Source organism: Homo sapiens, chromosome 2 (genome assembly GCF_000001405.40).
Source record: "Homo sapiens chromosome 2, GRCh38.p14 Primary Assembly".
NCBI lineage: Eukaryota > Metazoa > Chordata > Mammalia > Primates > Hominidae > Homo > Homo sapiens.
In genome coordinates, this window is record NC_000002.12 from 154697807 (window position 1) to 154712496 (window position 14690).

The 14690-nt window shown below is 36.3% G+C and overlaps 1 protein-coding gene across 4 annotated transcripts in view; it reads left to right on the forward strand.

The window, feature by feature from the left end:
* The first annotated feature begins 888 nt into the window (after nucleotides 1–888).
* The window catches only part of KCNJ3 (potassium inwardly rectifying channel subfamily J member 3), a 159660-nt gene continuing 145858 nt past the window's right edge, over nucleotides 889–14690 (forward strand). Inside the window, exons 1-2 of one of the 4 annotated variants that reach the window (NM_002239.4) lie at nucleotides 889–1671; nucleotides 11797–12013. In NM_002239.4, the coding sequence (NP_002230.1) occupies nucleotides 970–1671; nucleotides 11797–12013 (919 nt within the window). In that variant the 5' untranslated portion in view covers nucleotides 889–969. Of the gene's footprint in view, nucleotides 1786–11796; nucleotides 12045–14690 lie in introns of those variants that run through there. The other 3 variants (NM_001260509.2, NM_001260508.2, NM_001260510.2) reach the window with 3 other exon arrangements.

The window sequence follows — 14690 nt, forward strand, 5'->3', positions numbered from 1 at the left end:
AGGGACAGCGCGGTGCCCTCAGGGAGGTGCGGAGCTTGGGGGACCTGCATTGGCGCCCATCGTGGTACACCAGGAAAAGTGGGAACGAGGAAAACAGCCGTGAGCGCAGAGTGCGAGGCCAGGCTGCCGCTACCGCCCGCTGCGCCGCCTCCTGCCCTCTCCCGCTGGGTGAGTGCCCAGGCTTCGCGCACTGCCGTGTCTCAGCTGAGCGCGGGGGCGGCCTGCGGGCCCTTGAGGGTCCGCCGGAGGGCCCCGGTGGCGCCCGCGGAAACTCGGCGGTCGGGGGACGCCAGGCGGACAGGTCTCTGGAGTCCGGAACCCGGGAATCTGAGCCCGGAGGGCGTGGGTAGGGGGCGTTGCACCAGTGCCCGGCAGACATGCCTTTGGGCGGGATTTTGGCTAAAAGATAGGAGACAGGTGCGCCGGGGGTGCGGGGAGCGGTCCCAGGGGGCGGGAGATTGGGGAGCGGCGGGGAGGGGGGAGGGTCTGGTCCAGGCAGGTAAAGGCAGCTTCTTAGGCAGCCAGCGAGTTGGCAGGTGGGTTGGGACTCGCTTGTCAACTCATTAATTTTAAGCAGTCAGTTTGGGGGTACTGCAGGATAATCAGGAGGGCCGTGGGGAGTCAAGAGGTGACCCGGGATGCCGGTGGTGGGGAAAGAAAAGAGGAGCCTCTGGAAGCTTGGAGGCAAAATTGCGCTTGGGTTCCTGTTCCTTGCATCCCTCCTGGCTTGAGTGCGGGAGAACACTTTTTAAAGACTCACCTTGGAAAGAAGGCCTCCGTCCCAGGGGAGAAGGAGAGGCGTCTGCAGGGGGCAGAGACCGCAGCTACCTGCCGGGTGCGCCCCCCACCCAGGAGCGCTCGCTTCGCCCCCTTTCCTCCCCCGCCCCCACCTCCTTATTGGTGCTAGTTTGCAGCGCCCAGCTCCTGCGCCTTCGCTTCGCGTTTGAATCTGGCTCGCCCCTTCGTATTATGTCTGCACTCCGAAGGAAATTTGGGGACGATTATCAGGTAGTGACCACATCGTCCAGCGGCTCGGGCTTGCAGCCCCAGGGGCCAGGCCAGGACCCTCAGCAGCAGCTTGTGCCCAAGAAGAAGCGGCAGCGGTTCGTGGACAAGAACGGCCGGTGCAATGTACAGCACGGCAACCTGGGCAGCGAGACAAGCCGCTACCTCTCGGACCTCTTCACCACGCTGGTGGACCTCAAGTGGCGCTGGAACCTCTTCATCTTCATTCTCACCTACACCGTGGCCTGGCTTTTCATGGCGTCCATGTGGTGGGTGATCGCCTACACTCGGGGCGACCTGAACAAAGCCCACGTCGGTAACTACACGCCTTGCGTGGCCAATGTCTATAACTTCCCTTCTGCCTTCCTCTTCTTCATCGAGACGGAGGCCACCATCGGCTATGGCTACCGATACATCACAGACAAGTGCCCCGAGGGCATCATCCTCTTCCTCTTCCAGTCCATCCTGGGCTCCATCGTGGACGCCTTCCTCATCGGCTGCATGTTCATCAAGATGTCCCAGCCCAAGAAGCGCGCCGAGACCCTCATGTTCAGCGAGCACGCGGTGATCTCCATGAGGGACGGAAAACTCACGCTTATGTTCCGGGTGGGCAACCTGCGCAACAGCCACATGGTCTCCGCGCAGATTCGCTGCAAGCTGCTCAAAGTAAGTGCTCCCCGCCCCTTCCCCACCGGGAGACCTGCGTCCCCCAAACCCGCGGAGTAACTCGTCTGAGAACCAGCCCGGGCCCCCTCCCCTGGTTCTACCTATAGCCACAGGTAAACTTCCTTTTGGGGGGTTGGGGGTTGGAGGACTGGGCAAAGAATGCGGTTGACAGTTCTGTTCCTTTTCCACTCACTCTCGTGCTCTTGTTTATATTCGTCATTTCGGATCTGCTTGTATCACTTACTGGACTAGTAACACGTGAGGACTGCTGTTGGCTCCTGGAGCCATGAGGGCAATTAGTGCCCTGTTCGCCTTCCTGTCCCTGTTGCTTCGCTATTCAGAGCGATTTTATTTGTTGTCTACACACTACCCCATTCAATGCGAGGTACTAGAACTCAACTGAACAGCTGTTATTTTGAAGAAATAGGTGCTGAACTTGCCTCAACTTTCACGATGGGCTTTTCTTATTTTTTTCTTTCCTTTTTTTCCCCCTAATAATATTAGGAGGCGGATTACTCCTCTGGACCCAATGACTTTAACTCTATGGTCATCTTTTTAACAAACACACAGATACAAGAAGCAGATAGTAAAGTGGAAGAAACCACACTTGGTTCTTTTAAATTTTTATTTTTACTAAATATTTTCTTGGAGAAGTATTCTTTGAAAGCTTGAGTGCTTTTCCTGTAGAGCCTCTTGTTAATTTTATTCTTAATTGCCTGTTTCTGTGAAGCCTTTGTCAATTACAGATTTCACTTGAAGCTTTCAGCATCCATTAAAGAAGAATTGCTTCCTACCATCAACGGTGTAAATGCTAAAACAAATTGCACATGGAGTGGTTATTAAAGCAAGGTCCGTCTAGTCGTTAGAGGGCACCACCACAAACAAGAGAAGTCCTTCTTAATCACTCATCCAATTAGAGTATGGGAAGGAAGGCTTAAAGCCCAGTTGTTTGTCTCTGTGTGTGATTTACAATTCATTTTTTTCCCTAGAGGGATTTGTCTTAGTAGTTTTCAGATGTCCATAAATTGAAAAAGATGACCTTAAATAAATAGTTCGTACAATGAAAAATATTTATCTGAGGTTGCGTAGAGAACTGAAGCCAGAGTCTGAATTTAGTATTAATAAAATGAAAATCTGATCAATATTTGAGATTTTGCCTTTGAAATTTCAATTTCCAATCCACAAGTATATATTGTTTTACACAGCCCCAACTTAATGTTGTAGTTAAAAGGGATCCAATGTGCTTTTAAAAAGTTTTGCTCTTGTGTCATTTTCATTATTCACTTACAAGATCTTACCATAATTATCCTTGACCAAGTTGCTCAGTAAAGTGTTTAAATTAAAGCAGTTCACTTGTCCTGTCACATCATATCATATGCATATTTACTGTGCTACATACAGTAAATAAACTACATTTTGTACACCACAGTGGAAAATTATCAACCTGGTTCTGATGTAAACGTTCATTAACTATGAATAAATAATTTGGGTAGATCATATTCATATATAATTAATTTCAATGAACTGCATACAATTTTTTAAAATTTAACTTAGTGTATTGTTATTGACCGCTGTTTGAACCAAGCAGTTTGTCAGATCAAGCTGGGCAGTTGTGTTGTAGATATGTTTATTACAATAGTAACTGTATGTGTCTTTAGCTTTGCATAGACCACAATATAGCACCTGCTTCTTTAGGTTAGGCCTACTAGACAGATAGAAATACTTTGTTAGTATAGTGGCAAGGTTTCTGTTCAAGCAATCCATGTTTATGTATCACTTTGAGACTTACTGAAGAGTAGTTTACAATATTAACTGATGTAATGGAAATTGACAATTAGACATTAAAGGTTATTTATAGACATTCTTTAGTTTTTTAAACATTTAAGGTTATTTATTACAGATGTCTTTTCCAGACAACATATTTTTGATGTTTATAGATTTTATTACATTTTATTTCAACAAAGCCAGTCATAATTAGAATTAACCTATATGTTAGTTTTTGTTTATTTTCTTCATACAAAGGTACAATGATTCTGAAGCACTCAGTCTCTACACTGGTGCAGGGTACTGATAATAATTTTTCTGCCTAAGGAAATGTACCACATATACCATAAAGAGTATCCTAGTTAAAAAGATGAAAGATGTATAGTGTCGACAAATTTGGAGCAAGGTGCTATATTAACACAAGGTGATAAAAACATCTAGTTAAAACAATACATATAATATTCTTATAAAGTCTTTTACTTTTGATTTGTTAGGAAGATGTCAGTGCTAGAAGTAAACACGATTTACCTGTGGCATCAATTTATATTTAAACAAAATTATGGTGAAATTCTCCCCATGGCGAAGGGAGAGAGTTGATCTGTGAGTAGCTCTTCAACTAGTCAGTTAGCGTAGCTTGTTCAAAGTTAATCTTTCCTGTAGGCATGGTAATTTAAATGAATTGCTGTAGTTCCTGTTATTCCTTAGACTTCATTAAAAAGGAGTCATGTTTTATTGGGGAAATAATAACATTCAGCAAAATTAGAGGGGAGATTTGCCTTTAATAAGTTGCTCTCATTTTCTCTTAAGAACTGAGATTAAGTGACCTAAAACAGTCAACTGTATTTTTAAATAGAAGCTATACCAAAATCTTGGCATAATAATATGTCCCTATCAGTTTTATACATTATTCTGATTAAATATTACACACAATTTCCCCCTTTTAACCTCCATTTAACAATTTAAATGCAAAATTTATGTGTCTTTAATGCAGAATGTGTAGAATTTTTAAGGCAACAAAATCCAGTATAATATTTAATGCTAGTAACTATAGTGCATGTATTCTTTTCCTACTACCTAATTTAATTTACTAATTTTTCTATTACTGTTTTCTTATTTGCTAAATAAAAGCTTCTTTAGATAAATGTAAAACTTCTATTTAATAATTATAAAGCACTTTTTGATTCTTGGGGAGACAATAAGAACATGGGCATGGCTTTCTAATGCTTTCTGTTATGAAATTTCTCATGTATAATAGTTTTTAAATGCCTAACTTTTGATGGAAGTTTTTTGTAAAACTTATTTGCCTAATTTTTATTATGCTTTTCACTTATTTGAAAGCACATTTTATCTCATCTCTATTCCTGTCTTCCAGCCTTACAAACACTAAAATATCTTTCAGTAGTCAAATATAGATCTTTCAACTTTATGCCTGGAGGGGTCAGTCCTTTTTCTACTCATAAAAAGAGAAAGTAGATTACATAAAAATCAAAGGCTATAGTTTGAAGTTCCTCATTAAAATCTGTGATTGAATTATAAATATAGCTATAGACAGCTCTTTTAAGATGAATATTCTTTCTTCCTCTTCTCCCCATATTGAATTTTTACTTGAATTTTCCATTTATTTTAGTTATCTTCTTTTCTCTTTTTGTTTTACCCAGAAAATAAGGACTAACTAGTATCATGGCTATGCTAAGTTAATATGTCATCCAATCGAAAGTTTTTATAAAAATGCCTGGATTAGGGATTTGAGACCAGTAGTTGTAATGTTGAACCCTATAGTTTAGTGCTGGGTTTAAAGGATTTGGAAGTCTTACTTACCCCTTTCTACCAACCTAATAATAATGGTTGATAGACCTAGGCATACAACTTGTTAGGGCAAGAATTAATTACTATTCTTTGATAACTGTTCGAGAAATTACAAATTTATTATCTCAATGCCATCATATATATGGTTATACTCATCCAGTCAGCACACATTTTTTACATAAAGTAAACATAAAATAAACTATGGTTGCATTCATATTTTGAAACAAAAAGGTAAGGATTAATTTTCTGGAAGCATAATGTTACTTCTTTATAGTTCTATTTATTGCCAATAGGCATCCTCTTTCTTTCCTAAGAGGTCAGCTGTGCAATCCTTAACTTTCACTTGTCAAAAGGTAATAGAGTACATTCCTTTCCTCTTCTAACATCACATATGTTATTTTTGTGCTCACCTTCTTTTATCCTCCATATATATGTGTGTGTGTGTGTGTGTGTGTGTGTATACATATCCTCCATATATATATCTATATTCCAAATTGGATGTTGTCTTGTTTCTCCATATGACTATTATCAAGTGCAGATGCAATAAAAAAATGGTGGTCTGAAAGACCATATATGTCCTAACATTTTGCTAATCTAACCACAACGATTCCTGAATCACAGGATTCCTGCAGTTTTCTCATATATTTATAGGTTTGCTTTCATTTTATATCTTGCACTGAAATGTGATTATGTTTTTGACTCAGTATGATCTTAATTTTATAACTGACTCTTCACCAATTGACCGTGGCCAATTTGAACTTTATTTTTAATCACGAGACAATTATTTACCTCCCTTTCCAAAAATAAAATCCACAAATGAATGTCTATATTTGTAAAAGCCCTGTTCTGAACATCATCTAAGCCATTAGTAAAAATATTCAAGAGGTCTAAAGCTGAGTACCTCAGAATGCTCAGGAGCTAGGTCCTGTATTGGTTGGTGAGTTCTTCAGGTAGATTCATTTTATCCTTAAAATTAGCACAGTTCCTATTTAGTCTAGTTTTTCTTTCTCTGACACAAGTATACTAATTCTCTAATAAGTATAGAACTTGGCTTCTAAAAATATATAATTATTATTCTTTTTAAAATAGTGGTAATATATTTTGTTTAGTTTTGTTTTTTATTTTTAATATTATTCCTGAAAAGTAAAGGGTGGATTGTGCTCAGGGAATAAAAAGTGAACAGAAATTAGGGGCATAAAGAGCCATAAATAAACAGCAGTAGGTAAGAACAAATGATAAAGCGAAGCAGGAAAAAGCATTTAATAGATTGGAGGGTATTTGGCGAGTAGGAGGAAATGTGCAAGTAGGGTTACGAAGCCTGTCCTCAATTATTATAAATGCCACAAAGGCCCTCAAGGAGTTATAAAGCCGCTCTTTCATTTGAATGGTATGAAAGCCTCACATAATCTATTATAAAATAAATTACATTGCGTTCTGTAAGAAATGTTCTTTTCATAAAATTGAACATATTTTTGTGGGTTAATTGGCTCAGCATTAAAAATCCTTATTTTGGACTTGACATTGGGTCATAGTTTTTCCATCTGAGTATTCATGGAGTTTCAAGCTTAAGGAGTCCAAATAAATGTACAATGTAATTGTAGACAATGCCAATAAAATTCTAGGTCTACATTCCCCTCCACCTGACTACTTAAATTTTGGTCTGGGCACCAAAGCCATTGCCCTAACTGCTTTGGGTCACAAGGTACTTTTGTTCCTGATTCTGGTACCTGCGTTTGGCTCATTTCCCAATGTTAGTTTCCAGATATTACCCTGACCTCATTCCATGTAATTTTTTTTATGACTGCAGCATATATTCAGCATGCACACACACACATAAATGCATATTACACGTGTAAAGAGGATAAGTGAAATTACAGATAAAATGGTGGGGAGGTGGTAAGCAAGAATGGCTTGCTCTCTCCGTCTTAGCCTCCTTTCCTTTCCTTCCCAGACCACTGGCCCTGTGGGCCCTTTTCCAGCAAGGACTTGTGAAAGGTGGTTAGGCATGGATCAAACTTTAGAATATGATAGAGGTAAATCTATAGTGTAGGACAGTAGTGATTTAATGTGCTATTCAGAATTCCTTAAGCCTCACTCCAAGCTAGGAAAGAACGTAGTTACATATTAGAGAGACGGGAGAGAGAGAGGTAGCTAAGATATGGATTGTACTGGATAAATATGTCCTTGACAAATGAATGTGGGCACTTGGCCATATATCCACGAGAAGGAGGGGGGCCAAATGTGGATCCGCTTGTGCCAGGGCAGTGCTAAATGTATATCCTAGGATCATGTATGTATATGTATGTGTGTGTCTGTCTGTCTTTGAATAAGCACTTAACAGTCGCCCTCTGTAATATGAAGACTGTCGGCAAAATACATGACAATGATGATCCCTTCTAGGCACCTGTGACTTTTGATTCTTTTTCCACCTATAGTCAGAATTGTAGTTGATTATCTTATAGGCCTCTTTTGGGGCTCTAAGGAAGTTCAAAGGCCTTTGACTTGAATTGCTTCTTTGAAATTAGTATAAATGACTATAAAATGTGACACAACCCTTAAATTCTACACATAGAGCATTTACATATAAGGAAAATGTGAATAATTGAAATATTATTAAATGACATCTGTATTATAAGTAACTTCAAAATTATTGCCACAACCAAAATTGTACAGAATTATCAAAAAATACCTAATGTTCACGTTATAATTTTTTGGACAGTTAATTTAAACAATTAATTTATTTAAACAAATTTTAAGCTCTAGATTTCTTCAATTTTTATAACTCCCAGAATTTTTTGTAATGCAATCAACAAGATATACTAAAATGGTGGAAAGACCTTTATTTCCTTCCCAAGATTCTATAAAATTGAAAGTAGAAGTTGTATGGAAGTCATTCTCAACCCAAGGATTTTTTCAAATTATCTTCTAAATTTTTAAGAATTAATCATTTTTATTCACTTTCTTTAAACTTCTTTTTTACTTTATTTGTTCCACAATTCTTGTGATTCTAAATAATTTTCTTATAAACTAAAAGTCAAACTTAGTAATCAACTTCTTATAAATTTAAATAATTTACTGCATAAATCTTAACTTTTAGCGATCGCTTTGAATTTGAAAATAATTTCAATTATTGTTGATCTAGACCATATCAATTTATACATTTGTATCTAGAAAACGATCCTGGTTCTATGTTTTCTCGGGAATTAGAAAGTTTATTGAGCTAAAGGAGATAACTGCATCATCAACAAATTGCTCTATCAGTGGAAAGTTTCTTATATCATAATGCTTAACATGACACAATGAAGAAAGGTCAAACTGGTTTTTATCTCAAAATATTCTGCTTATTATCAAATATTTCTGAGTGAAATAGGGTAGTTAATTGCTAAATAATATGAAACTGATGAAATATCAGTGGTGCCAATTTATTATATACTCAAATTACAGAAGAAAATTGATTTTGTAAAGACACATGCATAACTCATCTTTATTTTTCTTTCACTTTCATATACATGTATTTATCACAGTTCCTTGAACAAACATTCAAACTTTCTCTCACTCCTTTTACACAAGTTGAGATTTAAAACTAACTCATAGGCTTTTTTTTTCCTCCTGCAAATCCCCAGAATTGCACCAGAATTAGGACAGCCTAGATTAGAATTATTTAGAAGCCTAAAGTAGAATGTATGTGCTTCTGAAAATGTATTTGGTAAGCATGTATAGGTTTTGAGAGCATCAAAAGCATGTGACTGAACACTGCTAAGATAAGTTCGCTGTAGTCAGAAGCTCAGACTTCAAACAATTGTAGTATTCCAGGCACCTGCCACATTAAAACCACACCCTTCACTTTTGACCTGAGCCAAAGTCTATGGAATTTCAGTGATTAAGAGGCTCCTCACTCTACTACAAAGTCAAAGAAGGAAAAAAAATCAGGGAGGTGAACATATTAATAGTTGAAATATTTGGTGGCCTAATATAAAGGAAGAAGGACCTGGACAATAAAATTGTGAATATGTGTAGCATCTTTGTCATTTAAAGAAAGGTTAAATTATATAGTATCCACTGGATACATACGTAAAGAATTCAATACATATGTAAAGAATTTCACTTATCTGAAAAATATATGAGCATTGAAAGCATGTTTCCCAAAGTGTCGTATAATAGGAAGACCTGGATAGGATATCAAGTATTTGAGGTGGGAGGGTGGGGTAGGGTAATTTTGAGTACAGGTGTAATTTTGAGTGTATAGAGCAAATATTTAAAATCAGAAGGTATATTAAGTCTCAATGGAACAGATATATGCATATTTAAGCCAAAATTACTTATGTCTGAATAAACTACTTTGGTAAAAATAAAGTATTTCTTATTCCAAGTTGTCATCCTCCTGATAGCCTGCCTGTTTCTAGGCCACTTATATCCATGGGTTATTAAATGATTAGGGAATACAAAATTTAATAGCTTACTCTAAAGCCTTTTAGAATGAGGCACAGGTATAAATAACAAATGTATGAAAAAGGAAGACAAATTTTAATATTTGTGTACATATATAATACTTGGGAAAATATATCTTCTTTGGGGAAAATTATTTTAGAATAAATGGGAGATTTAGTTTCTAAAAGAATTATTATTGTCAACAATGCCATGTAGTTCAGGAAAAGCAGAACTTAGAATGGTCAGCAAAAAGACCCAAATTAATTATACACATCAGAATACCACCTTGTGTTTATATAGCACCTGTTTCTTAGTAGGTGAGAGAACAATGACACAAGGTTTTTGTTTTTGTTGCTTTAATTTTGTTTTGTGTCCGGCATTTATTTTGTTGTATTAATCAATACTTGTTATACAACCATGTAGTTGGAAAGATGTTGGTCTCATTTATGTTTTACTAATTTGAGAATAGATTTAGAAATACAGGTCACTCAAGAAAGTTCTTTTGGGAGCTTTTTCATGCTGTCTTGGAAACGCCTAGTTTTCTCCAACATTGGTTGCTAGAGCTGCTGTTTTAATTTTTGCACCATCAGATTTTTCAGTGGGCTCTTTTATTTGTTTGTCAGTAATCATTTTTTTCATAGCCTTCTTTTTTCAGCCACACACAAGTTAGAGAAGAAAAATAGTCTCCCTTTCATTAGGATTTTGTCTACACAAATAATATCCGTGAATATTTCTAACTGCAAAGTAGCCTCTCTAGTTGACTAATTCTCCTGTTGAAACTCTTTGCAACAATTGCTGCCATAATGAAGCACCACCGATTTGGAACCCTTCATTCTGTTTTGCCACAAAGGACATGTTGCTAAGCCACATTTCTCAGTGTTTTCAGACTCACTTACTCCACATAAAAAGCCAATGTATTTTTTTTGGAACTCTGAGAGTAAGAATTTTGTCTTCAAACTATCACTTCATTGGGCAGACCAGTCTTACAGATTGTTTTGTTATTACATTTGTTTTACATGGAATCTGTTAGAATACAATGGATTCATCAGTCCTATTTGACCAGCAGTATGCTCCACCTTCCCCCCATTTTTTTCTGTATTTAATTCCTAACTACCTAGCCCTTATTTTACCCCATAATTACATAAATTAAATGTATATGTTTGCTTGTGCATGATTATTATATGTGACCGATATGGAAAATAAAGATAAAAGGAAATAAGTAATTTTACTCTCATGGTTTGCTAATTTTTAATAGTCATATTAAATTTTCTCATAGAACCCTAGCATGCAAGCAATTTACTTAATTAAGCTTTAGAGTGATTTATACCGAAACTGAATGCCACTACCTTAGAAACCTTTTATTAAACTATGTTTCTCAGGTATAGCTTTTTGAAATTGCATTTTGATTAAAGAAAGTTCAGTTTAGTTCAGTTTTTCACTGTTTTAAAACTCATGAAATGACAGAGAAGCAAATATTTATAATGCAGTTTATTATTAGGAGTTTGAAAACCATTAGCTAACAACATCTGCCATTTATTTTTATTATGTAAGCTCTTGTGTACATAACATAGCTTAATATGGGAACATCTTCACTCTTCTATTCCATTTTATATGTGTTTGTTACTTTTCGAAAGTCTGAAAAATAAATTGTTGTGTTTTGCTTTTTAGTAATCAGTAAATCTCTTTCAAAATGATGGTCAATCTTTGTCAGCTTTAACACACTCCATAAGAATTGCCTACTTATTTATTTGCTGTGTTGAGAAAAAAAATATCTGGCATGCAATGAGTTATCCTGCAGTGATTGCTGTCAAGCAGCAGCACATGCACACTCAGTTCCACAGTTTGTGCTAACAACCATTGTTGGACCAGGCATTTCTCCAAAGCTCATGAGTTAGGGAATGGTAATTATAGCAAGTTGTGTATTATAAATAATGCATGTATGTTCCGCATGAGCTATGTGGGATTTCGGCCCATTTGCTAGAACATAGTTGCATAATGATTTGTTTGGATTTTGTTGCAGATGATTGATAGTGCAGAATGTTGGCAATGATGTAAATTACTGTTGGGCTGCCTTGAAATTTTCAGTACAAGTGGTGATTTCTTCTCTTTTTCTGTGTGCTTGTCTAGTCTCGGCAGACACCTGAGGGTGAGTTCCTTCCCCTTGACCAACTTGAACTGGATGTAGGTTTTAGTACAGGGGCAGATCAACTTTTTCTTGTGTCCCCCCTCACAATTTGCCACGTGATCGATGCCAAAAGCCCCTTTTATGACCTATCCCAGCGAAGCATGCAAACTGAACAGTTCGAGATTGTCGTCATCCTAGAAGGCATTGTGGAAACAACTGGTGAGTAAAAACAGATATGCCATAAAGTTTCTTTATACCATAATGACATTATATGATATGCACAATACCTGTCATGAATTGGGCGAAATGACTCAGAGTTTACAATAATGAAAGTAATGATTTGCCTTTCATTTCTTTGTAACATTAAATTGATACCATTTTGAAAATTAAAATGTACTGTTTTGATGGTTACATAGATAATATTAACTCTGGAACACTCACTGTAAAAAAAAAGTGGGATGACTTCTTATAAATGATTATGATGTTCTATTATAATTACAAACTTGACTTTCTTATAATCATGATTTTTCTTTAAAGATTTAAGGCTCAAAAAAGTAGGGTAATTATTGAGCAGCCTGAAATCAGCATGCATATTCTGGCCTTGGGGATGGTGATTTGGGGTGTCATTGATAGAGCTTTGATATCCACTATGTGCAACCTCAGTGGAAAATTCCCTGTGTGTGTGTCTGTGTGTGCTGTGTGTGCTAAAGCAGCATTTTAATATCGAAGTGGGTCAGCGGATTTCCCCAGCTGAACCTTGACCAAAATTTCATTTCAAAAAGATATTTTTTTCTTTTTCTGCTCCTGTATAGCTATGTGCTATATGTTTCTCCTTAACATCCAATATAACTTGGTATGCCCCAAATACTATTTGCTATTTTCTGAGGACAGTTAAGTTGACAAAGGAAATAAACAATAGTTATGAGCATATTATTTGGGGCCTACACATTGCTTAGTTTGGAAGCTACTGGATGTTTGAGATTAATAATGTAGTTTCCATATAATTGTATGTATACGTATATGTGTGTGTGTGTATGTGTATGTGTGTATTTTGAGTTCTATGCTTTCTACAAGTACTGAGAAGACAATAAATATTTTAGCTTTTAATTGTTTTCTACCACTATCATCTGAATTATATAATACTAATGATTATGTATAAACTATAGCAATATAGAAATTAGCACTGGCAATACTACAGATAAATTCAAGCTTTATACCAAGGTGGAAGATCCTCAATTATGTAACAGTCAGTATTGTCCAAGTAATAGAGGGAGGCTAGTCATTGTAATTTTAGCATGTCTGTCACATAACACCTATCTGAAATTTACGCAAGATATCTACTCTCTTAAAGCTTCTTTTCCTTCTCTTCAAAGTGAGGATGATATAATAACCACCTCAAAGCTGCTTGTAGTATTTTAAACTGAAGCACTATTATTAGTTACTGAAGCACTATTATTATTACGATTTTAAGGGCAGTGAAAAAAGATTTAATGTATTAATCTATATATGAAATTTTATTTCTGCATACTATTTTATGATTTAAAGCTCCCATTCATTTTTTCAACTTATAATTGAAATATCATAGTATTTTTTAAAATACCATATATTGATAAAAAGTATAACCAATATATAAAGGCTCGTAGTCCAAGAAATCTTTACATTTCCATTTTTACTCATCTCATTTATTAAAGTAGTAATGTATTAGGGCTTAAAAACAGATGTTGCCATTTTTATTGGTTTATTTCTTATGGCATATGGTTCTTTCTTTCATACATCTGCTTATAGTTTACCAATTGCTTATTATTATTCTCATCACTGACATTAATGCATTTTTGCTTCACTTGACAGCCTTAAAAATGTTTTATTAGATCTATCTATCTACTTATCTATCTAGCTACCCGTTCATTCATTTCTGTTTTTCCCTAAATACTGAATATATTTGTTAGGAGTGAATGCGTTTTTCTATAAAATCACGGTCTGAAGATGTTATAGTTCTTCAACATTATTTTGTGTTTCTTAACCTTAATATACTTGAAAAATTAGGCCGGGTATTTTGTAGAATATCTCTCAATTTGGAAATGTCTGCAGTATCCTTATTCATTATTTTGATTTTTGGCCCCTACATGGCATCTTAAGGGAATATTGAAGCAGGTTGTTTGTAAATTTTACCTATTTTTCAGAGGATCATGGTTAGTACATAATATCCTACATGAGATTGTAAAGAGTTTTATAACGTAAATTGTTTATTAGAATTATAGATGTTATTTTACCATTTTCCCCCTCCTGCCTAAAAAGAAATAATAAGCTGGAAGACAATACTTTCCACAGAAAATGTGAAAACTTGGCTGGAGATTGAATTTCTTATTTAGAGATTGCCTTTTATGGAGAAGAGATTAAAGTCCACTTCCTCTTAACCTCTTAATTAAACCTGTTTTCTAGATCTAATATAGCAAGACAAATAAGAAAAACATTACTCATAATTTATAGAATTTATTTTGTGGAAAATTTATCTGACATTTTGTTTGTGTGTATGCCCTAACTAATTAAATCCCACACTGTTCAAACTCTATAAAATCTCTGTATATTTCCAGACCTCCCTGAGCCTGGTAAAAATAACAAAGACATTCTTATGTCCATTTGATCATTTAAAATTTTACTGAGATTTATTTGGTTTCATCTTTGAGGATGTTTCTTCCTTTATCCTTTCATTCACAATGAACTTTACTTTCTCATAATACGTATTGCCTAGAACAAGACAAATATGATCTTATGGGATTGTTTCAGGGAACAAGAATACTGTTTTTACTTCTTACTATCTTGTGAATAAACTTTTCACTACTTTGTGAATAAAGTTAGCTGATGTAACTTTCTATCATATTTAACATTAAAAAACAGC